The following is a 23,011-nucleotide window of genomic DNA, read 5'->3' as shown; positions in this document are numbered from 1 at the left end:
CCACGCCCGGCTAATTTTTATATTTTTAGTAGAGACCAGGTTTCGCCATGTTGGCCAGGCTGGTCTTGAACTCCTGACCTCAAGCAATCTGCTTGCCTTAGCCTCCCAAAGTGCTGGGATTACTGATGTGAGCCACTGTGCCTGGCCTGCTGCCTTCTTTTTAACAGCTCTAAAATACTGCATTTGTAGATGTACCACCATTCATTTAACCATTTCTCTATTGATGGGTATTTAGTTTGTTTCCAATATTTTGATGTTATTAACAAAGATGCAAGAAGCATCTTTCTGAACTTACGAGTATGTGTGTAGGATTAATGCCCGGAGTGGAAGAGCTAGGTCACGGTATTCTACTCCTGGGTATTTGTCTGACACATACATTGTATTCCAGTGTCTATCTAGCACAAATGCAGGAAGAATGTGCAATTTAAATTTTGACAGATGCTGCCAAATTACTCTCTGAAGAGGCTGTGCCACTATATTCTCCTACCAACAATGCATGAGAATGAACAGGTTTCACTTCACTGCTCCGTGAAGCATAATGACAATTTCAAGAGAATCCTTAAATCACCCATCTACCTACCTGGCTGATAACTCAAGGGTTGCTTCTTGTACAAAGGCTTTCCTGACACCCTCCCACTTCCTTACTCTGTAACATCCCAGACACTACAATCAATCAGGACACCAGAAACAGGTTACTACACATATCTCATATCTGTTTACATGACTATCTCCCTCACATTAGACCCTAAGCTCTTCTAGGGAAGAGATCCTATTTGTCCATCTTTATGTTTCCAGTATCTTATCAGCACAATACCTGACACAGAAGTATTTTGTAAACATGGAATAAATGGACATGTACACCTTTTGACATTAACAAGGCTAAGATGGCCTCTCCGCTGACTCAGGTTCTCTCAAGCCTTGAGCCTCCACCACTTTGAGTTGTCTGCGGATCTGTGTGGGGAGTACACAGCATGGTTTCTACATTGAGAAAGTATCTCCCAATGTCTTCTAACTACTTTTCAAATGACTAGACACTGCTGTGAATATACTACAAATCTGTTTAAAAGCTTTACCCAAGCTTCTTGTCATTATTCTCAATAAATGGATATTGAAATATAGCTGGTATCTAAGAGACATCTGTGAAATATGACATCAAAAAATTGTTGAACAAATAATATTTTTAAAAGAAATAAGAGGAGAATATTTTCATGAGCTGGGAACAGGTAATGATTTCTAAAACAGCAACCAAAAACCTAATGCAGCTAAACATAAAGGAAAACAAGGATCAGTCAGATTATATGAAGATTAAAAACTTCAATCCATCGAAGGAGTTGACTAAAAAAATCAAAGGCAAGCCATACAGTAGAAGATACTTCCAATATACATAGTCAATAAGTGACTCATCTCCAAAATAAAGAACTATAAAACATTAAGAAGGAGGCAGGTAACCCAACAGGAAAACAGGCAAAAGACTTAACAGGCCCTTCACAAAGGAGGATATGTAGATACGACAAATGTAAACATATATTCGGAAATGTGCTCGACTTCATTAACTGTCATGAAAATGGAGATCACTGACTACCCACCAGAGACAGAAGGTGATCGGACTTCTCATACACTACCGGTATGGTTGTCAACTAGTACAACTACCACTTTGAAAACTGGTTGGCGGTAAAGCTGTACTGAATGCATGCATACTCAATGACAAGCATTTTTTCTTGTGGGTATAAATATACCTAACAAAAATGTGTACAGATGTTCACCAAAGAATACGATCAGAATGTTTAGAGCAGTACTGTTTGTAATAACTCTAAATTGGAAACAGCTACCCAAATGTCTATCAACAGCAGAATGGATAATTATATTGTGGGTATTCTTCACTGCCCCCTTACCCGCACAACTCGGACTCTGACACTCACACGCACAAACCAGCCATGAGAGTGGATCATTCACAGCTAGATGCAATGACATGGATGGTCTAAAAATGTAATGCAGAATGAAAGAAGCCAGACACACAAGAGGAAACAGAGTGTTTTTAAAAATATAAAGTACAAAATATATGTAAAACAAAACCAGATAAACCAATCTGAAGAATTAGTATCAGGATGGTTACCGTTGGGTGTAGGAACGGCCATGTCCCAACCAGAGTGCCAAGCACCGGAGTATATTCAGTTTGTGAAAATTCACTGAGCCTTATACTTCTGATACGTGCACATTTCTGTATGTCTATTATACTTCAATACAAAGTCAGTGTGCCAGGCACTGTGCTCACGCAGTTTTACTAAGCCAGTGAACAAGAAAGTCTATGTACATCTCTCCCAATTTTTCTAATCTTTGTGAACATATAGGTTTTGTTTTTCACAGTTAAATTGAATATGTACATACTAGTTTTTATATAAGACTTTTCATTGTTGGTATAGTTTACTATCTTCCTTTTTTTTTTTTTTTGAGATGGAGTCTTGCTCTTGTTGCCCAGGCTGGAGTGCAATGGCGTGATCTCGGCTCACTGCAATCTCCACCTCCCGGGTTCAAGCGAGTCTCCTGCCGCAGCCTCACAAGTAGCTGGGATTACAGGCATGCACCACCACGCCCAGCTAATTTTGTATTTTTAGTAGAGATGGGGGTTTCACCATGTTGGCCAGGCTGGTCTCGAACTCCTGACCTCAGGTGATCCACCCATGTTGGCTTCCCAAAGTGCTGGGATTATAGGTGTGAGCCACCATGTCTGGCCTACTTTCCTGTTTTTAATACCACTAAAGTGAAGAACACAAAAAGATAGCAGTAATTTTAACATACTCATGACACCACACACTTAGACATTTTAGCTTGAGCTGTGAAAAATTCCCAACTGGCTTTATGTTGCCTTTCAAAAATCCATCTGGGTACCTGCTATTTACATCCAGGACAACAATAAACATGATTTTTGTTTTTTTAAGAGACAGGGTTTTGCTCTGTCACCTAAGCTGAAGTGTAGCGGTGCAATCAATGGCTTACTGCAGCCTCAAATTCCTGGGCTCAAGCCATCCTCCCACCTCAGCTTCCCGAGTGGCTGGGACTACAGGTGCATGCCACAATGCCCTAGTATTTTGATTTTTATATTTTTTTAGACATAGGGTTATACTATGTTGCCTAAGGTGGTCTTAAACTCCTGACCTCAAGTGATCCTCCTGCCTCAGCCTCTGGAGTAGCTGGGATTATAGGTGACAACCACCATGCCCGGGCACATCATGACGTTTTAACACTGAAATGAACGGGCTGGCCTAGAGGGTGCAATCAGTAGTTCACTGGCCATATCTGGCAGCAGATGGGCTCCTTAGGCCTGCAAAGTACTCTGAAAATACTTAAATGATTGGCCAAATCTAAACAATGGGACATGTAAAAAAAAAATGTGAAAACAACCTCAGCAACCAGGGGCCCACATTCCAGTGTGGCCCCAGCTGATGGAGCTGGGCCTGGCCTGAGCTGGGGTTCCCAAGGCTTCACCTGGGCCTGCTCTGCTCATGGGTCAACCTTGCCTGGCCTTGGTGGGCTCTGGAGTTCATGCCCCTCCTCGACACAATGGCAAAGGACCCTCCCTGCTTCAGTACCCTTGGCTCTCAACCACATGGTGGATCTTAACGCTACATCCACCCTGCTCTGACGGCTTTCTGCTTTTCTCCACCTGGAAGTCTGACATGTTTATGTGACTCCCCACACCTCTACAGGGCCTGCTTCTTTGGACCTCAGCTCTGATAGCACCTCCTTAGGGAGACCTTCCCCAATTGCTTGCAGACATTCCTTCATTTCATCCTAAATTATTTTCTTTGTATCAGTTATTATGATCTGAAATGATCCTATTTATTTGGTGTTCACTGTCTGTTTCCCTCTGTAGAATGTGCGCTCCAGGAGAGCAGGGGCTGCGTCTATCTTCTTCACGGCTATTTCCCCTGAGCCTGGAACAGCTCCCAATAAATATTTTGATGAATTTGAATGAAATGAATAAACATAGATACGATCTGCAGAGGATCCCAAAGGCATGCAGCAGCCCCTCTCCCATCGAGTATCATCATATTAACACTTCTGGAAAGGGAAGGGAAAGAGAAGGGAAAACAGGTCTTACCTTTCACTTGCCTAGTATTATTTTTGAGGGTTTTCTTACCGTGCAAGTATACCTGCATTTCATTTCCCTTTATTCATTTTGTTCATTTTCAATGACCTTGGACGACTAACAGAAACATATTTAAATAGAGAAAGAAATGGGACAGCTTTCATGACCTCAGTACCCTGTGCATTATTTATTCAGTAGCAACACTCTTTCCAGAAGGGCGGCAGCTCTTCAGCAACTATAACATGATATGAAAACTGGACATTACTCTTACCTTCTCCAACTTCATTTCACTGATCACAATATCAGAGACTAGACTGCTCTAAGTAAGACAGGAATTCTAACCAGGAAGATCATTCTGTGTTAAGCGGCTTTTACAGAGGAAATGGATAAGGCACAGAGATACTCACTAATTTCTATAAAGAGTTCATTTATGTTTATCGCGTTTTTTGCGCTGGTCTCTACAAAAATTGCATGAATAGAGTCGGCGTAGTCCTTTGCATCTCTCTCCATGACTTCTCTGGAAGGCAACAACTACATATCAGAAATTCTACCCATGAAGATCTTAGTTGTACCCCCACCTACCCAGTAGTTAACCAGATTTATGATGACAAAGGATGGACTAAATGGCTGCTGGATGGGCCCTGAGACATGGTCTTCTCGATTACACCACATCCATGGGTAAACAAACAAAGTGAAACAAAACTCGGTACCACTAGTAATGTAGCTAATGGAATGATTAGGGATGGCAGGGTTTTCTTCCCCAGCCAAAATTTTCAAAAAGCCCTTGCTTTGGGAATGATGGAAGTGGCCCAGGGAAACTGCCAATAAATGTGCTTTCTGCATTCAAGTATTCTAAGTCATGGGAGCCTGGGGGCTGCTCTGATCTCAGATAATGTTGGATGCAACGCAACCAGTATTTCCGTAAATTGCACACCTGTCTGTATACATAATATAATTAGCTCCAAATGCCTGAAATCTTAATTTTAGTTTAAAAATTTAGGACTCCAACCACACAACCAAAAGGAATTTTTCAATGTCAGAGATAAAATAAAAGCAAGATTCTTAAACTGGATATTGCTTATTAAGAAAAGGAACACATAATAGGTATTGTAATCTCTCGTTCTAATAACTTACCTTACATCGATAAGATCACATTTATTTCCTGCAATGGCAACTACAATATTAGGTGGGCCATGCTGTCGAAGCTCTTTCACCCAATTCTTTAATGTTGAAAATGTCTCCTGTAACACACAAAAAAGAGAGCAACTGGAGATCTAAGCAACCAAAAGAGTTTTCAAAACAATCTAAAGAAAACTATATAGTCTTACTTCTTTTGTGATATCATAAACGATTATAGCTGCAGCCGACCCTCGATAGTACATTGGTGCTAAGGCACGAAACTGCAGAGGAGGGGGAAAAATAAACAAAATTGGGAAAACTGGTTAAATATGTTTTATACTAGATTTATAAGCCCATTATCCCTGCACAAAAAGTAATCTTTCTCTTAAGCCAAGAAAATGACATGCTGCTTTAAAGCAAATGAACCAGTAATTACCAAAGGCAAAAACTTTTAATGTAACACTGAAATGTCTCTCAGAAGATAGTTCAGAATACAGTTTTATAGGAATTAAATATGGCGCTATAAACAATTGTTTCAGCTAAAAAGGCTTTTTAATTGAACTCAATGTTATAATTCCCAAATTCATTTGTTCAATAGTCCTTTAAACTTTGGCTTCCCTAACTATCAGGGGAGATAAAAATAATGCTATAAATAGTTCTCCAGAGAAGTAGCTGCATTTGGGTGTCATAAAGAAAACCCTGTAATCTGAACACTGATTGTCCTTCAGAAATGAGTACACATCTACATTCACTACTTGGATGAGTTTGCAACTTGCTTTTTTGATATCTCCTTGCATGTGGCAATTCTCAAATGCTGGGTACAGATCTCATTTCATTTACATCAATTTAACCCTGAATACACAGCTTCTTCCCACTCATCACCCTGGTCACCCTGGCCTCCACAACCGGTGACACACAACAGGGAGGAAAGAGAAGGGAGAGGAATAACCATTTGAACAGCAAGGGTGATTCAGTGAGCTATTTCTCTCAATGAGTGTGAGATGGAGACTGTGAAGCTCTTTGCCCAGTCAATCTCAGTTCTTGGGCACACGTCCTATGTGAGCATCTCACCAACTGGATATGATGTCAATGTTTAATGACAAGAATTTTGCCTATACTTAATTTTCGTCTTGCACCCTGACTCTGAAGCCTGACCCCTACTTATGATCTGATGACACTGTATTTACATCCTGTTGTTAATGGTGGTTTACCCCTGAACACAGGCAGGGATTATCACAGGGGAGCATTTGGTGCACATACATAAACCACATACAGAACTATGGATTCTGGAACTGCTTATCCAATGAGTTTAACCTTTTGGCTTTTAAAATTTCGTATTAATTTGAGTTTTACGATAAATTTAAAATTTATCAAATTAAATTTTAATTTGATAAACTGACAAATGTATATATCTGTGTGAATATCATCCACTAAGATGTCAAACAGTTCTATCAACACAAAGTTCCTCAATATTCTTCTCACAATGTCCTTCTTCCACCTTGTTTTCATGTCTGTTTTACTGATATTATATAACCACATGGGTCTCTTTTGTTTATTATTTGAATACTACATCCTTTTGCATTCTTTATTTGTTTTTATATTTATAGTAGTCCTCTTATAACCAGCACATAGTTGGGTCCTGATTTTTGACAACCTTTGCCTTTTAAGTGGAAGGTTCAGCAGTTCAGCTCCTTTATATTTAATGTATTTACTAATATATTTGGATTTAGGTCTACCATTGAGACGGAGTTTCGCTCTTGTTGTCTAGGCTGGAGTGCAATGGCGTGATCTCGGCTCACCGCAGCCTCCGCCTCCCGGGTTCAAGCCATTCTCCTGCCTCAGCCTCCCTAGCAGTTGGGATTACAGGCATGCGCTACCACGCCCGGCTAATTTTGTATTTTTAGTAGAGATGGGGTTTCTCCATGTTGGTCAGTCTGGTCTTGAAATCCCGACTTCAGGTGATCCACCTGCCTCGGCCTCCCAAAGTGCTGGGATTACAGGCGTGAGCCACCATGCCCGGCCTGTATCTGTTCCATTTCTTTTAAAATTCCTGCTCCTCCGTTCTTTTCCTCTTTTGCATTGCTTGAATTTTTCTTAGTGTTCAATTTTAGTATATTAACTTCTCTACTGACTTTTGAACTGTACTTGCTTGTATTATTTTTTAAGTTGTTGCTTTTGTAACTATAATATATACTGCACATTTTTCTTTTTTTTTTTTGAGACAGAGTCTCGCTCTGTCACCCAGGCTGGAGTGCAGTGGTGTGTTCTTGGCTCACTGCAAGCTCTGCCTGCCGGGTTCAAGCAATTCTTGTGCCTCAGTCTCCCAAGTAGCTGGGATTACAGTAAGTGCCACCATGCCCGGCTAACTTTTGTATTTTTAGTAGATATGGGGTTTTGCCATGTTGGACAGGCTGATCTTGAACTCCTGGCCTCAAATCTACCTGTCGTGGCCTTTCAAAGTGCTGGGATTACAGGTGTGAGCCCCTGTGTCTGGACTACTGCACGTTTTTCTACAGTCTACTTAGTTTAAAATGCACCACTTCATGTAAAATATCAGAGACTTGCAAAAGTCTAATTTCTTGTTATCCTACCATTCTTTGTACTACCACTGTCAAATAATCTAAATCTATATATGCTATAAACTATACAATCCAGTGTTATAATTTTTGAATTAGTTAACTTTTGAATAATTGAAGAAGAAAAAACATACGTTTCTATTTGCCATTTCTAGTGGCTATTATTTCTTCCTATGGATCTGAATTACCATGTGGTGTCATTTTCCTTTAGTGTGAAAAACCTTCTGGGACAGCTGCTGTTGATTTCTGTTTTTGTTTTTCTAAAAATGTTCTTACTTTGACTTTATATTTGAAAACTAATTTTGGCAAACTGATAGGTTTTTGCTTTCCACACTTTAAAGATCCTGTTCCTCTGGCTTCTGGTCTCCGGCGTTTATGTGTAAAGTTAGCCATCATTCATATTGTTGTTCTCCTGTTTACGTGTCTTTTACTTCTGGGTGCATTCAAGATTTTCTCTTTACCTTTGGTTTTCAGCAGTTTGACTACGACTTACCTAGATATGGTGTTCTTTGAACTTACAGATTTGTTGAACTTCTTGGATTTGTGAGTTATGTTTCACTAAATTCGGGAAATTTTCAGCCATTATTTCTTGAAATCTTTTTTTCTGTTTCCATCTCTCTCTTTGCTCCTCCTGGCTCTCCAATTACACATACGTTAGACTGTTTGAATTTGTCCCTATGATACTGAGACTCTGTCCATATTTTTCTACTGTTTTTCTATTCTTCTGATTAATGTGTTCTATCACCCTCCAGTGAGTTTTTCATCTTAGATATTGCAGCTTTCAGTTTTAGCATTTTCATGTGATTCTTTATTAGTTTCCATTCTATGTGAGATTCCCCATTTGCAGTTAAGTCATTAACACTCCTTTTTTTTTTCCCTTAAGAGATGGGCTTTTGCCATGTTGTCCATGCTGGTTTGGAACTCCTCGACTCAAGCAATATGCCTGTCTCGGCCTTCCAAAGTGCTGGGATTAAAGGCATGAGCCACTGTGCCTGGCCTAGTTTTCTTTAAATCTCTGAACATATGTAAAATATGTGCTTTAAATTCTGTGTCTGCAAATTCCAAGAAAAGGGTCACTTTAGGGTTTGCTTCTACTCACTGGGTCACACCTTCCTGTTTCTTCATATGTGTAGTAGTGCTGACTGTCCACTGGACAGTGTGGATGATGCACTGTAGACGCTTGGTTTTTTTCTTCTCTGAAGAGTATTAAGTTACTGGTGACTCATCCTGAGATTGGTTGGTCTACTTGGGTTTTTGGATTTGCCCTTAGTCCTAGGACACGGTTTCTACTCCCAAGGCATGGCTCTTCTGAAGTTTCATCGGAATGCCCAAGGTGTTTAGTGATCCCCTGTAACACAGCAGGATTGGATTCAAACTTTGAAGTCTAGCCCTGCTGTAATGAGGAGCAGCTGAAATCTCTGCTGTCTTGTCACCCTTGCCAGCTACTGGTTTCTGTTGCATTTTATAATGTCTCTCTTGTGAATTCACAATTTGGGGGTCAAAAAAACTTCAGGGAATTTATAAACAGATTTTAGGGGGTCCCTCCTTGTTGAATCCCTTTTCTGCGATTTGCCTCCTCTTTTTCTGGCTGCTCTAGCAGTCCTAAACTCTGCACTCAACACAAGCTTTCTGCTTAAGTACTAGCTACCCTGTGCCACTCGAACTGGGAAATACCCACTGGGGAAAAGCTGTAAAAATGTGGATCTTACACAAGAAAGCTCCCCTTTGCAGTCCCTGACTGCATTTGGTTGCTCTGCAGTGCCTTCAAACAGTTGTTTTTTTAAAGCTTTGTCTGGAGTTTATATATAATTTTTAGCTGTGGGAGGGCAAGCCACTCGCTATTACTGACATGGAAACTTTCATGTCCTTTTGATGCAAAGAAAGAAGGTGGAGGCATGTAAGAGACTCAAAAGCTGTCAGCACATCTCTGCTCCAAACCTGGCTCTAGATCAGGTGACGGCAAACTTTTTCTGGTAAAGACCAGGTAGTGAATATTTTGGCTTTATGGGTCACATAATCTCTGCTGCAACTACTCAACTCTACTATTGTAGAGTGAAGGTAGCCACAGACCAAGCTTGTCTAACCTGCGGCCTGTTATGTGGCCCAGGACAGCTTTGAATGTGGCCCAACACAAATCCATAAACTTTCTTAAAACACTGAGCTGTTTTTGCGATTTTTTTTTTTTAAGCTCATCAGCTATCGTTGGTGTATTTTATATGCAGCCTGAGACAATTCTTCTTCCAATGTGGCCCAGGGAAGCCAAAAGACTGGACGTCCCTGCCATAGATAATAAACAAACAAGCATGGCTATGTTCCATGAAAGCTTTATTTACAAAAACTGGTGGCAGGTTGGATGTGGCCCAAAAATATATGTGTAAATTCTGTCTGCAAATTCTAATAATGGGATCACTTTCGGGTTTGCTTCTACTCATGGAGTCAGGTCTTCTTGTCTCTTCATGTGGATGGTAACTGTGCACTGGCCAGTGTGGATGATGCACTGCAGACTCTGGTTTCTGGGACTGTCTGCCCCAATTCTAGATGATACTAAGCCACTACACTTGTTCTTGATTTTAAACAGGAGAACAATTCCTTACATGACTACTGTGACAATAAATAAGTCTGAGGCTTCCTAGTGTTCTGATCTCTGTAAAAACAGTCATTGGGAGAAACCATATTAAGATGCAGGAATGTACATTTTTAAAGACTGGATGCAATGTCTATTAGACTCTGGTTAGGAAGCTTTTTTTTTTTGAGATGGAGTCTCACTCCATGGCCCAGGCTGGAGTGCAGTGGTGCGATCTCGGCTCACTGCAACCTCCACCTCCCGGGATCAAGTGATTCTCCTGCCTCAGCCTTCCGAGTAGCTGGGACCACAGGTGTGCGCCACCATGCCTGGCTAATTTTTGTATTTTTAGTAGAGATGGGGTTTCACCATGTTGGCCAGGCTGATCTAGAACTCCTGACCTCAGGTGATCCGCCTGCCTTGGCCTCCCAAAGTGCTGGGATTACAGGCGTGAGCCACTATGCCTGGCCAAGAAGCTTTCTTTTATACAATCACACACAGATGGCAAGTATTTGACATGCTCTTACTACAGGTATGGTGTATTTATGAGGTTTTTTAATATATGTGTTGTGTCTGTCTCAATGCTACTGCAGGAGTCTTTGTTACTGAAGGAGATAATTGGTGGAAAAAGGGTGATTTTAAATGCATTCATTCAAGATAGCAAATAATAGGGACAAAATGGTCTCACAAAGACTCTATCTTGAGAAGATAAACTTAAAATTGTAAAATCAAGTTTAATTTTATCTGGTATTTGAAAAACCTTAGGTTTATTATTGCAGCCAGGAGCTAATTTTCTGGATGAACACTGAGTCGAACTTGATTGATAACTTGGCTATGAATTTTCTGATAAAACTACATACTAGCACAATACGATATCCTTCATTTCATGTTTGACTTTCATAGTCTTATCATAAAAATGACAAATTTTTACAAAAATATTTGAGGGCTTCATCAATTTTCCCTAGGCCCCTCTTAACCCTTTGATACACAAACCATTATCTTCTGAAGCACTTATATCATCATCCTGAGCAGTATTTTTCCTCTTCATTTAAGTTAACAAGATCCCTACTGTCAAGGGCTTCACAGGACATTTGAGAAATTCTCCAAAATCACTTTCATTGACTTAATGAAATCACTTTGCAATCAAACGTAGCTGGACCATCAGAAAGACAATCCATCTGTCAAAACTATGTGCAGTACAAGATGTCAAATGGGGAGGTTGGGGAGGATGTCTGAATGGTCAATTCATCAAAAGGGTTTTCATTTTACGACAATTTTGGTTCCATAATAAATGTCATAACTACAAAGAGTAATAAACATACAACAACAGAAATTTATAATTTGAGTCATGCACTACTCACATGGTAAAAGTAGGTAGAGGAGCTGTCCTTATCTGTGCCTAAGTAGGGCTGGCAATCAGTAGACATAAACCTATGGGCATCAATACCATGTGCCAAGGGGCTGAGAGCAGAGATATGAAGGCAGTCCTTGCCCTCAAGGAGCTTACAGTCTAATGAAAGGCAGACAGGTAAGGAAACAGGTGACAATCCCATGGATGACAGCAATCAAAGACTTCAGGATACAAAGGAATACTCCAAAGAGTTTATTTGCTGATTCATCCAACCAACCAATATCTGAACATCAGCTCTAGGTCAGGCACCATGCTAGGCCCTGGGAGTACAGCAGTGAACAAGACACTGTGGTCCCAGCTCTTGGAGTTACAGTCTGATGGGAGATTCTGTCAATGAAGGTAGGTAGACAGGTATCTAAGGACAATTTTTAATGAATGTTCTGAGGAAAATGAGTAAGGGCAGTAATGAAGAACAAAGTTGGGGCCCTGCTTAGATGCAGGGGGTTTAGAGAAAACTCTGAGTGCATCACATTTAACCTGACACTAAAAGACGGGAAAGGAGCCAGCTGGGCTCCAGTGGAGGGAACAGAGAGTTTTGGTGAGAAGGAACAGCGTATCCAGAGGCATGAGGCCAAGGAGTGCTGGAGGCCCTGAGAAGAGAGGAGCCCCGGGGGAGGCCTGGGCAAGTCACGTGGGGCTTGGGAGGTCTCTGTTCAGAGTGTGGCTGTTATGAGAGGTGCAGTGGGAAGTCACTGAAGGATATTAAGCAGGCCAATAACACAGGCTGATTTTTGTTTCCAGAAGATTCCTCTGGGTCCTATGAGGACATGTCATGGACAGAGGGAAAGCAGGGGACCCACGAAAAGGCTAAAGGAGTACTCAGTGAATGGCCAAAGGTGGCTGAGAGCAGGATGCTGGGAGCGGAGATGGAGAAGTGAACCTATTTGCGATACATGTAGAGAATGAAGCTGTCAGGACACCTGGGTGGAGAAGGTGTCCAGCACTGAGGCCAAGGGAGGAACCCAGGGAGGCCTCCAGATATGGGTCTAGAGCAACACGGCAGTGTGGCGATGTGGTTACTTGTCCGAGAGCAGGGATGGCAGGAAAGCCCCCTTTAGGTGACATTGGAGGTTGGTTCTGAAGGCTGAATAGAGTTGTGGAAGGGCATGAGGGTGTGAAACTATGGCATGCTGGAGAACAGCACGCAGTTTGTACTAGAGGACAGACTGGTGGGAGGAGGTGAAAATAGAGCCTGGCTGTGGATGGCACATTCTGGACCTTCAATGCACTGCCCAGGATAAACGGGCAGTCCCTGACCCAGACAGGCTTACAAGACGTGTCTTGTGTGATCCTCCCAGCATTTCAAACAATTTGTGGGTAGCTGTCAGGTGTGTGGCTTTCCTCAGCACTGCGCTTTGGCAACCCTGGACATGTGCTCACGCCCAGCAACAACTGGCTGGAGTGTGTGCTCATCAGGTGGTGCTCCTCTCCTGTCTTCTCCATGCAGGGCATCCTGGTCAGCACCCCTGGCCTGTGGCTTGGCCCCATGAGCATCTCCTGTGCAGCTCTGGGCTGTGTGATGGTGCATCAGGCAGGCTGAAGGCAGGTTTGCATCTCAGAGCAACTACTCCTGTTGCAGAACCAATGAGAAGTGGACAAGCAAGAGGCAGGAAAACCAGCTAAGTACAAAACTTCACAGACTTCTGCTACCATGGTGGCAGAAAGGGAGAGAGGCAAACACCTTTGTGTTATTTTTTTTTTGTGTTCCAGAAAAAAAGAGATGTTATACGCCACTGCATATACCAGGACAGGCTCTGATTCAAAGCATAATGGAATCTATATTACAGCATGATTCTTTATGATGAGGGCTTTGCTGTATCATCAAATATATGTGAGGGGTAACTGAAACTTGGGATTTAGTGGAGGGTACATATATTACTAATAGGAAGGGCCACACGGATTCGTGGCTAACAGGACAGAACCCAGGGCTGTGTCTACAGATATATTCAGGATTCTGGTAAGCGACACACTTCTGAAGGACAGAAGAGGGATGGTTAGCAAAGGTCCAGCTGTCCTAAATGCTCCATTCTAGATGTACAACATGAGCAAAGGAAAAGGAATGGGGAGTGGAAGACGGTAAGCAGAATATCTTAGATGAGTAATGGGACAGAGGCACAACATCCAGTGTTAAAAACAGAAGAAACCAAACAGAGCAAACTTAAGACATTAAACCTGTACAAATGCATGGAGTCTATGTCTAGGACAACAGTAATGGCTTGTTTTGTTTTCCTCCATTTGTCTGTGATGATTCTTGTCAGATTTCATACTACACACACTATCTATGGTGTCTTAGATAAGGCTGTGATGACAGACTATTTTTCCTGATTACTTCTGGTACACTTTTAAGAGCTTAAGATAGCACCATGCATCTATCAGATGTGCTGTTTGGATCGTACTGTTTGAAAACAAAATTAAACGGCAGCTGAATAATGGGGTGGCTGCCAGAGACACCTTGGAAGGGAAATTGGACTTAGTACCCAGAGGAAAGGGGAGGCAGCAGATGTGTCTTAGTACCCAGAGCAAAGGGGAGGAGGCAGATGTGTCTCAGTACCCAGAGGAAAGGGGAGGAAGCAGATGTGTTTGTCCCCATCCCTGCCTTCCCGGCCCTTTCTGATTTGGGTGGGCTTCCCCAAATTCCATTAGACCCCATGCTGCCATGTTCAGGCCCCGCTTCTGGTTCAGGCTCTTCCTTAAGCAGATAACCATTGTGGCCAATTTTGTCATCAGGCATTTATTAAGTATCTATTGCAAGGCACTGTGTTAGCTTATCCTTTTCACTTATATCTCACCCTTCATATGCTGTAAAGTTCCCTCTTTAGCTTTTAAAAGGCAGCGATAAATGAGTTGTGCTTAACTCACCCTTTCTACCACTAATTGCTTTATATATCTTTACTAGAGGAGAGAGCCCCAAATTATACACAGTGCTCTGAGTGGGATTTTATCAGGCCTGTTGGTCAGCATTTACTTTAAGACACTGCAAGGTATAAAAATGCCCTCAGTGCCCATTATCACTTTCTCCATCGGTGGACTCTGTGGCTCTAATTGAAAAGGCAAAGGCAAAGGCTGGCCTACGCAAATGGAAATAAATGTGTCTCCGGTGCACAGAAGAGAAGTGAGTAACGTGAGATGACAGGGATGCTGACAGTTTAGTTGGAACTTTCATTTGGGCCTCAGAAAAACAGAGTAAATTAAAGAGTGACTTACTCGTTCTTGTCCAGCTGTATCCCAGATTAGGAATTTATGTAGCTCATTTTGGTACTGGACAGTCTTGGTCATAAAAGATGCCCTATAAAGAGAGACCTAAATGATCAGAATACAATTATGTAAAGCACGTTTCCAGCCCCAGTCGGAAACATCACTTAGACTCAACCAACGCTCAGTCTCCCAGCACCACGCTGTATCCTAATTGTGTTCCTCTCTGGAGTATTTATGGGATGCTCAGATGCTGAGTGCATATCCTCCGTCAAAATAAAGCATTAGGCACATCTGCCCGACACCAAGAAGGAAGGGTTCTAAGCTCCTTATCAAAAGAATCAAGAGATAGTTTGGCAACACAGACATTAGCCTCCCTTGTAAAACACAAAACCTGTTATTTAAAGAGATGTTATCATGGGAAAATATTCCTAAAAAACTATGTCCAGGAATGTATACACTAGTTAAAAAAAAAACTTTTTAGGATCTGGCTTTGTCCTCCCCCAATTCCCAAACCACATTCCCATGTAAATAGGTGAGTGAGAGCTAGTGTTAACATGCGAATTAATAACATTAAGGTGTTGAACAAGGAGCAGGAAGATGGCTGGAGAAGTAACAGCTGCACCAAGGGGACCCGATTCATCATCAGTGCCCCTGACGACCACCTGCATTTCATCGACAAAACGGGTTTCTCAGCTGAAGTTCAACATCACACCTTGGGGCCTCATCGAGCCCCGGATGGGAGAAGGAATCATGGTTTGCAGGTCACACCGCTCACTTTCAGGGAGCTACTCTGCCCAGGGCACTCTGACGGCAGGGTTCCTATTATTTTGGGGGTTCTACATTTGGAGAATCTTGAGTGAGACCTCAAAATCTGTGTATCCTCTGAAGAGCCATGGTGGCCCAGAAGACACGCCTGGACACTTGGGGGACTCCAGGACACAGGTTCAGGATTCTTGCCCTGGGATTGGGCCCAGCTCCAATACTACCTTCCATTCCCCCCTCACCCAGAGGGCAGCCTCCCAGGAAGTCCTTTGTCTCCCAGTCTTCTCAAAGCATCCCAGTCTGGCCAGTAGAGCCCAAAGATGGGTGTGTCTTCTTTTCTAATGAAAAATAAGACTTCTGGAACCAAGTACGAAGTTATACTTTTTTTTTTTTTTTTTGCCAAATTGTACTCTTGTTTTTTGGCCAAGTTGTACCCAAATCACTCCAATCAGGACATTGAACTCAATGGCTGGCATTTTCAGATATGCTGAGGCCTTGAAATATTTTTCTTGAGATTCAAGTGATAATCTTCAAGAAAAGTGCAAGTTGAATAGACAGGATGACTTTCTGATGAATCATGAGCTTAGACAAGTATCAGAATCCTTAGTTTTAAAACTTCAACTCTGATACAATGAATTCCTGGCAATATTTATATAAATTTATGCCATGGCAAGTAGCCTCCAAAACAGTGACTGTGACTAGGAAGCGAAGGTAAATTAGGAGGCAAGATCATATTTACTGATAGGTACTACTTATTGGATATTTATTTACTGAAAATTTACCCCTTGGTATCCTTAGTAAAGTGCTTTGTACACAGAAGGTACTCATAAATGGTTATTGTATCAAGAACTTTTGGTGACTCACTATGATTAAATCAGGATGTACAACATGGTTTCTCACTTAGGAAATATCTAAGCATTCAAAAAGCATTGTTTATTGTGAAGATTAAATGAGATGATGTATGTGGAAGTGCTCTGTAAATTGTAAAGCACTGTATCTATACAAGGTATTATTATTATTATTTAAAGGCAGCTCCAGGAAATGTTTTAGTTTAGACTTTGCAATTAGTCCTAAAAGCTTGCAACTCAACTCTCCATCAATTATGGTTGTGGTGTTACATTTATGAGTGACAACAGGCATCCAACAGGAGCCTACCAACAGAGCCAACACATCCAACACTTCCATTTTGGCTGCTCAAAGGAAGAAGAAATATATTTCAAGTAGACAAAAAGCTGAGAAAGGTATACACAATAATTATGACAGGATTGGGACTCAATGAAGTTTAACCTACCTGCCAAGCATTTACCTTTAATTAAAACATTACTTATTACTGACTTATTATTGAGTCAGATAAAAGACAAAATGGCAGCTATGATGTAATGAAAGTGCCCTGAAGGATTAAATCTAACTCCCTGTCTGACCCTGGACCACCCTTCTACTCTCCCCTTTCATCACTTTCACCACGCCTCCTTCCTGTCTACCCTGAAGTTTTCTTGTACCTCAAGCTCCCTTCTTGGGTCTAAGTCTCTGCTGTTGGCTTCCAGTCCATTGATCACCAGCATCACTTGCCCACACCACCAGTTCTCTAGCCTCCTTGCCTGTCTTGTCTCAACCACCCAGAAAAGCCCCAACAGCCTCTCCACCTGCTTCCTCTACCCAATGGTTGGGTGGTGGCTTCGCTGGAGGAAAAATTACAAAACTATGTGGACGGCCATGAAGATTCTACGCTTTGTCTGCTGGGCATGCGTCTTAGGCCTTCTTCCATTCCACAGCAATTATCCCACATTCTCTCTCCTCCTTTCCAGTTCTCTACCACTTCCAGCTACCTGTCTCTTCAGGACAACAGCTTGTTTCAGCCTTCTCAGAGAAAACAGGTTATAAGCCCCAAGACTTTCAACCAGCTCCCCAGTCAACACTTTCAACTAGAGAACAGACGAATTTCCACTCATACTTGCTGTGACTTCCATTTTTCTGACTTTTGCTGAGTCAGAGATGTCTTTTCTTTGGCTCATGTGTCAATGCTGCCCTGGTTCATGACCCCAGCACATCCTGCCTTGGCCACTGCAGTCATCAAACTGGTCTCAAGTCTCAAATCTTTTCAATTGTCCCTGTGTCCACCTTCCCACGGACCACTGACTGCTCCTCTTCCTTGGATGCTTTCCCACTGGCTCTCCCCTGGCCAGATGCTCCCCATCGTTTGGGTCTCAGCTTAAATGTTAATGACCATAGACACCTGTGCCATCTACCCCACCAGGCAGCCTCCCACCCAACTCACCACTGCACTTTGTCTTTAGAGCAGCTTTCACAACATCTGAGTAGTTCATTTATGTTTTTTTCTTTTTAAAGTTTGCCTGTTCAATGTCTGACTTACCCATGAGAATTTTAAGTTCTTTGAGTGTAGGGGCCTCGCTGTAACTCTTCCTCTGTAATAGGGGTATCTTCCTCATCTCTCCATCTCCTTGCTATCCTAGAACTCCAACAAAACATTTATCATGTAGCCTACAAGCTAAGTGGCTGTCTGTTATGCCAACAGATCTAGGGTGTCTTGGCCAAGCACTTCCTGAAGCATGAAGTGAGAAGTACTATTGAAATGCAGGTAAAACGTTGAGATTAGAGCAGACCTGGGCTCTGCAACCTTAGCAAGGTGTGTGGCCTTTAGGGTATGTGGGAAGTGGCTCAACTAGTGCAAGGCTGAGTACGCCCAAGCAGTGTCCTTCCTGCCTTCTGCCAAGCCACCAGCTCCAACTCCTTCTAGCCCACAGGCAACCAGCAAAATCCAGGAGTTACAGCAAAGTCACTGTGTCCCTCTCTCACTCAAAGCTCTGGAATTCTGCTAAGAAGTCATATCGCTTTTTGGAAGGAGGGGGTGTCTCTTTCCTGCTCATTCACGTTTGAATCAGGAGTTTTTTCCCAACCCCACGTCACAGCTCAAGTGGCCAACCTTTCTCCCCTCAACCCCACAATGCATTTCTGTTGATTTCTGAGAGGTTAAAATCTTGGCCTATCACATCTGTAAGAACCACTTCCTCCTCAGCATTAGGATTGGATTCTTTTCCGTAGTGGTAACACCTGGATTCAGGGTGAGACATGGGAGGGGGAGGTTGCCTGTGGCGCCTCCCGAGCTCTGGGCTAGCCCCAGGCAGAAGTCCTGCAGGAGCAGGACTCAACAATGGATTCCTTCCTACGGTCAGGTCTTCACCTGTTGAGAACAGCACTTTTCCAAATCTGCTTGATTTTAGTTTAACTACACAATTTAGATACTTCATCACCCTTCCTGCCCAACATGGTGAAAATAGGGCGTTATTTCCACTCTACCCCCACAAATCACCCCAAATTCCAAGATCTCAATCACAGAACGTTATGTCTGCCTTCCACAGAACAGAAACGAAGTCTGCAACTATCCTTTGTCCTTTGTTACTTGCATCCAATTTTGAAGTAGAGCTGTCTGGTTCTTCATTTTATATTTAATCTACACTTGAACCTCAATCCCTGAAATAAATTCATAAATTGGACCCTAATCTTCCAGTGGGACTACTACAATTTTTCCCTCCCGTTGTCACTAGAACTCTAGGATCACTAGGATCACTCCTTTAACGATCAAGTTAAATGATGCAGAGGGTATGATAACTTTAATATCTTGCTTTTTGAAAAACTGGCAATGGCTCCCTGCCATTCAAATGATACATTTTTATTTTCCAGCCTGCCATTTACTTGTCTGATAACCTTATTTTTCACTACTAAACCATCTCTCTTCACTCTGCTTAGGCAGATCTTATTATGTCTTTAATCTAAAATCCATACTAGCATTATTTCCTAAAGCTAGAATGCTTTTCATATACTTCTCCATTTATCATGGCATTCTAAAAATATGACTTTCTTCATGCACACCAAGTAGTCATGAACTTTGGTCAGAGTACGTGCTCTCAATGAAAAAACTTGTTGCAAGGTATTTTAAACATTTCTTTTCTTTAACTGCAGTAGACTTGTTTAGCTCTCCTGGAACATAGGTGTGCTCTGACATTACATTCCAGCACCTCTCTTTACTGCAAACCCTGTTCTTTGCATGGCATATGGGATGGTGTCATCCCCATAATGGCATATAGTGCCTCCCGAGGATGAACAATCCAGCACATTTTACAATTAACAAAGGATTCTCACTTCTCAAAACTAGAAATCTCATGCAAACAACCCTTGGATCTCTGGATTATGTACACTGATGGAAACACCACTGAATACCAAGATTGAGACATAAAAAGACCAAAGGCACATGACATCTAGAAGTTCCTCTAACAGAGGTATCAAGGGACCTTCACAAAGTTGTCTCTGTTAGAATGGTGCAAAGAACTTGATGGGTTCTCAGTGAGGGTTAGCTGAATTTAAGCGCACATTTGGCTTATGTTAGAGTGGCTTCAAGAAGCCGGAAGTCTCAAGTGTATCCATAAATTCAGTGAAGTATTGTGTGCATTCCATAGTCACACACACCTTTAACCTTTTCTTGAATCTCCACCATCTCTTAGGCTAATGAGATCTAAGGATTAACTCTGCATAGTAATCTCTCCCAAGCAGTCGATACCCACTTAAAGCAGAGTGGTGCACAACGGACTGTTCCACAGGTTCATGGTCATCCTAAGCAAATCCTTTATCACCTTCTACATGTTCATCATACAGCCTAAAAACTTTTTGGAAAATATTTAAAATCAAGGAAAAGATTTCTTTAAACAGGCTGGGCACGGTGGCTCAAGCCTGTAATCCCAGCACTTTGAGAGGCTGAGGCGGGCTGATACTTGAGGTCAGGAGTTCAAGACCAGTTTGACCAACATGGTGAAACCTCGTCTCTACTAAAAATACAAAAATTAGCCGGGTGTGATGGCGGGTCCCTGTAATCCTAGCTACTCAGGAGGCTGAGGCAGGAGAATTACTTGAACCCAGGAGATGGAGGATGCAGTGAGCTGAGATTGCGCCATAGCACTCCAGTCTGGGCGACAAGAGCGAGATCCGTCTCAAAAAAAAATAAAAAAAAATAAACAAACATAACTAAATAGCAAAAAGCTTATCCTTTCCTAAACTTGTCAATAATAATTTACATAACATATACCATTTCACATCAAAAACAAAATCAACAATGACAAAACTGTCTTGACTTTATTGTTAGACACTCTTCTAATGATTTCACATGTGACCCAACTGAATCCCTCTACTGTGGGCTCCAGGCTGGGTTTTATTCTTCATCACCATTTTGCAGATGGGACACAGAATAGACAGGGCTGGTGAGAGGTGCAGTTAGGATCCACAGCCAGGCAGTCGAACCTCAAGTCTGTGCTCTGAACTACAGTGCTATTTGTACTGGGCAATCTGTTCACTCCTTCAAACACCTGGACTTCTACCACATGGCAGGAACACCAGGCAGGCAAGGTGAGAAAGAGCCCATCACAGCCCTCAAGTGGCTTACACTGGGGGTACTGGTCAGGTGAATAGATAATTACCAGGTAATTATCCTATGAGGTAAGTGAAGAATGGACAGACTGTGAGCAGGAGAATGGTGATGGCATCCTAGGATCTGCACCTTAACCTCAGAACCTGTGAACAGATTCCCTTAAATGGCAAATGAGACCTGCCCGATGTGATTAAATTGAGGATCTTGTGATGGAGAGAGGACCCTGTATTACTCAGGTGGGACCAAGAGGAGTGAGAGCCAGAAGAGAAGGTGATCTGAACATGGAAATGGAGAAGAGAATGACGGGCCTTGAAGATGAAAGAAGGGGCCACAAGCCAAGGCAGTTGCTAAAAGCTGAAAAAGGTATGGAAATGAATTCTCCCCTCAGAACTTCCAGAAGGACCAGCTCTGTCAATACTTTGACTTTAATCTTGTGAACTGACTTTGGACTTCTCACCTCCAGAACTATAAAAGAGTAAGTGTGTGTTTTTTAAAGCTGCTCAGTTTGCTGTGATGTGTTAAAGCAGCAAGAGGAAACAAATGCATCAGGAAAGCCTTCAGAGAAGAGGTGAAGTATGGGGCTGAGCCAGAAAGTTGAGGGAGAAGATGGGCGAGGACCCCCAGGGGGGTCCCATTCCATGAAGAGCAACGGCAAGAATCAAAGTAGAGAATCATGAATGTCAAGCAGCAGCCTGGCTGCTCTGCAGGGTTAGACTTGGAGGGTGGGGTGGGCAGAGTGCAGTTAGGTGACCACATAGAAGGCTCCAGGCAGGTGAAGGCTGGTAACAAGTGCCTCCTTGGTGTGAGGCCCTGTTCCTTGTAAGCCAGAATCTCCTGGAGGCCAGAGCTCCGCCACCCCATTTATGCTGCTCCATTTGTATTACTAGTGAATATTTCAGAGATATTCTAAAAATATTTTAAAAAAGGTACATTTCTATGTACCATTTGCATTATGTTGCTTCGTTTGAATTACTACTGAATATTTCAAAAAATCACTCTCTTTTTTTAAACTGAGCCTTGCCTAAGCAACAATATTGGTAAAATTTAAAACCTACCAGTTTCATGAACTAGTTTTATTTTTCCCAAGAGACAATAAAATACTTTTTATCCCCCCAGATTCCAGGCAGTATCCTTAAAGTCTCTACTTTTAAGGATCCTCCAGGACAGAAGTAGAGACAGATGATGTAGGCAAAAATTGGGGAACAGTAAGCCCTGTGAGGGCACAGACAAGACGAAGGGAAGTGGGTCAAAAAGAACAGCAAGGCTGACATTTTGGGCTGGATAATTGAAAAAAAACCAGCGGCCGGGCGCCGTGGCTCATACCCGTAATCCCAGCACTTTGGAAGGCCAAGGCGAGTGGATCACTTGAGGTCAGGAGTACGAGACCAGCCTGGCCAACATGGTGAAACCCCATCTCTACTAAAAATACAAAAAAATTAGCTGGGCGTCGTGGTGGGCGCCTATAATTCCAGCTACTCAGGAGGCTGAGGCAGGAGAATCGCTTGAACCCAGGAGGTGGAGGTTGCAGTGAGCTGAGATCGTGCCACTGCACTCCACCCTGGGCGACAGAGCGAGAGACTGTCTCAAAAACAAACAAACAAACAAACAAAGAAAACAAACAGCAAGGAGGGGAAGCAAGCTAAGCGGCCCATGGAAATGATCCTGGACAAAGATAGGATGGGCAGGAAGGGACAAAAGGGACAACTTAAGACTAACATACAAAATCCACAAGGTATCAACTGCGGTGAGGGAAAGGGAGAGTTCTCAGCAAGTCTATGTAGCAGGCTTCTGTCAGTTCAGCCAACTCTGTGTGTGATGAACTATTTCAGTTATTTCCAAACTGTAACTGTATTCTTTAATTTTT

General features: G+C 42.4%; 1 protein-coding gene across 1 annotated transcript in view; it reads right to left on the bottom strand.

Annotated features, from left to right (window-relative positions):
- Positions 1 to 23,011, bottom strand: part of RAB22A (RAB22A, member RAS oncogene family) — a 57,793-nt gene that overhangs the window by 8,748 nt on the left and 26,034 nt on the right. Inside the window, exons 3-6 of the mRNA NM_020673.3 lie at positions 14,961 to 15,042; positions 5,416 to 5,487; positions 5,222 to 5,328; positions 4,495 to 4,604 (exon numbers count right to left, since the gene is read on the bottom strand). Coding sequence (NP_065724.1) covers positions 4,495 to 4,604; positions 5,222 to 5,328; positions 5,416 to 5,487; positions 14,961 to 15,042 — 371 coding nt within the window. The remainder of the gene's footprint in view (positions 1 to 4,494; positions 4,605 to 5,221; positions 5,329 to 5,415; positions 5,488 to 14,960; positions 15,043 to 23,011) is intronic.

The sequence above is a fragment of the Homo sapiens genome, chromosome 20, assembly GCF_000001405.40.
Source record: "Homo sapiens chromosome 20, GRCh38.p14 Primary Assembly".
In the NCBI taxonomy this organism is placed as follows: domain Eukaryota; kingdom Metazoa; phylum Chordata; class Mammalia; order Primates; family Hominidae; genus Homo; species Homo sapiens.
The sequence above is the reverse complement of the archived record's forward strand: the minus strand, read 5'-3'. Positions and strand labels throughout refer to the sequence as shown.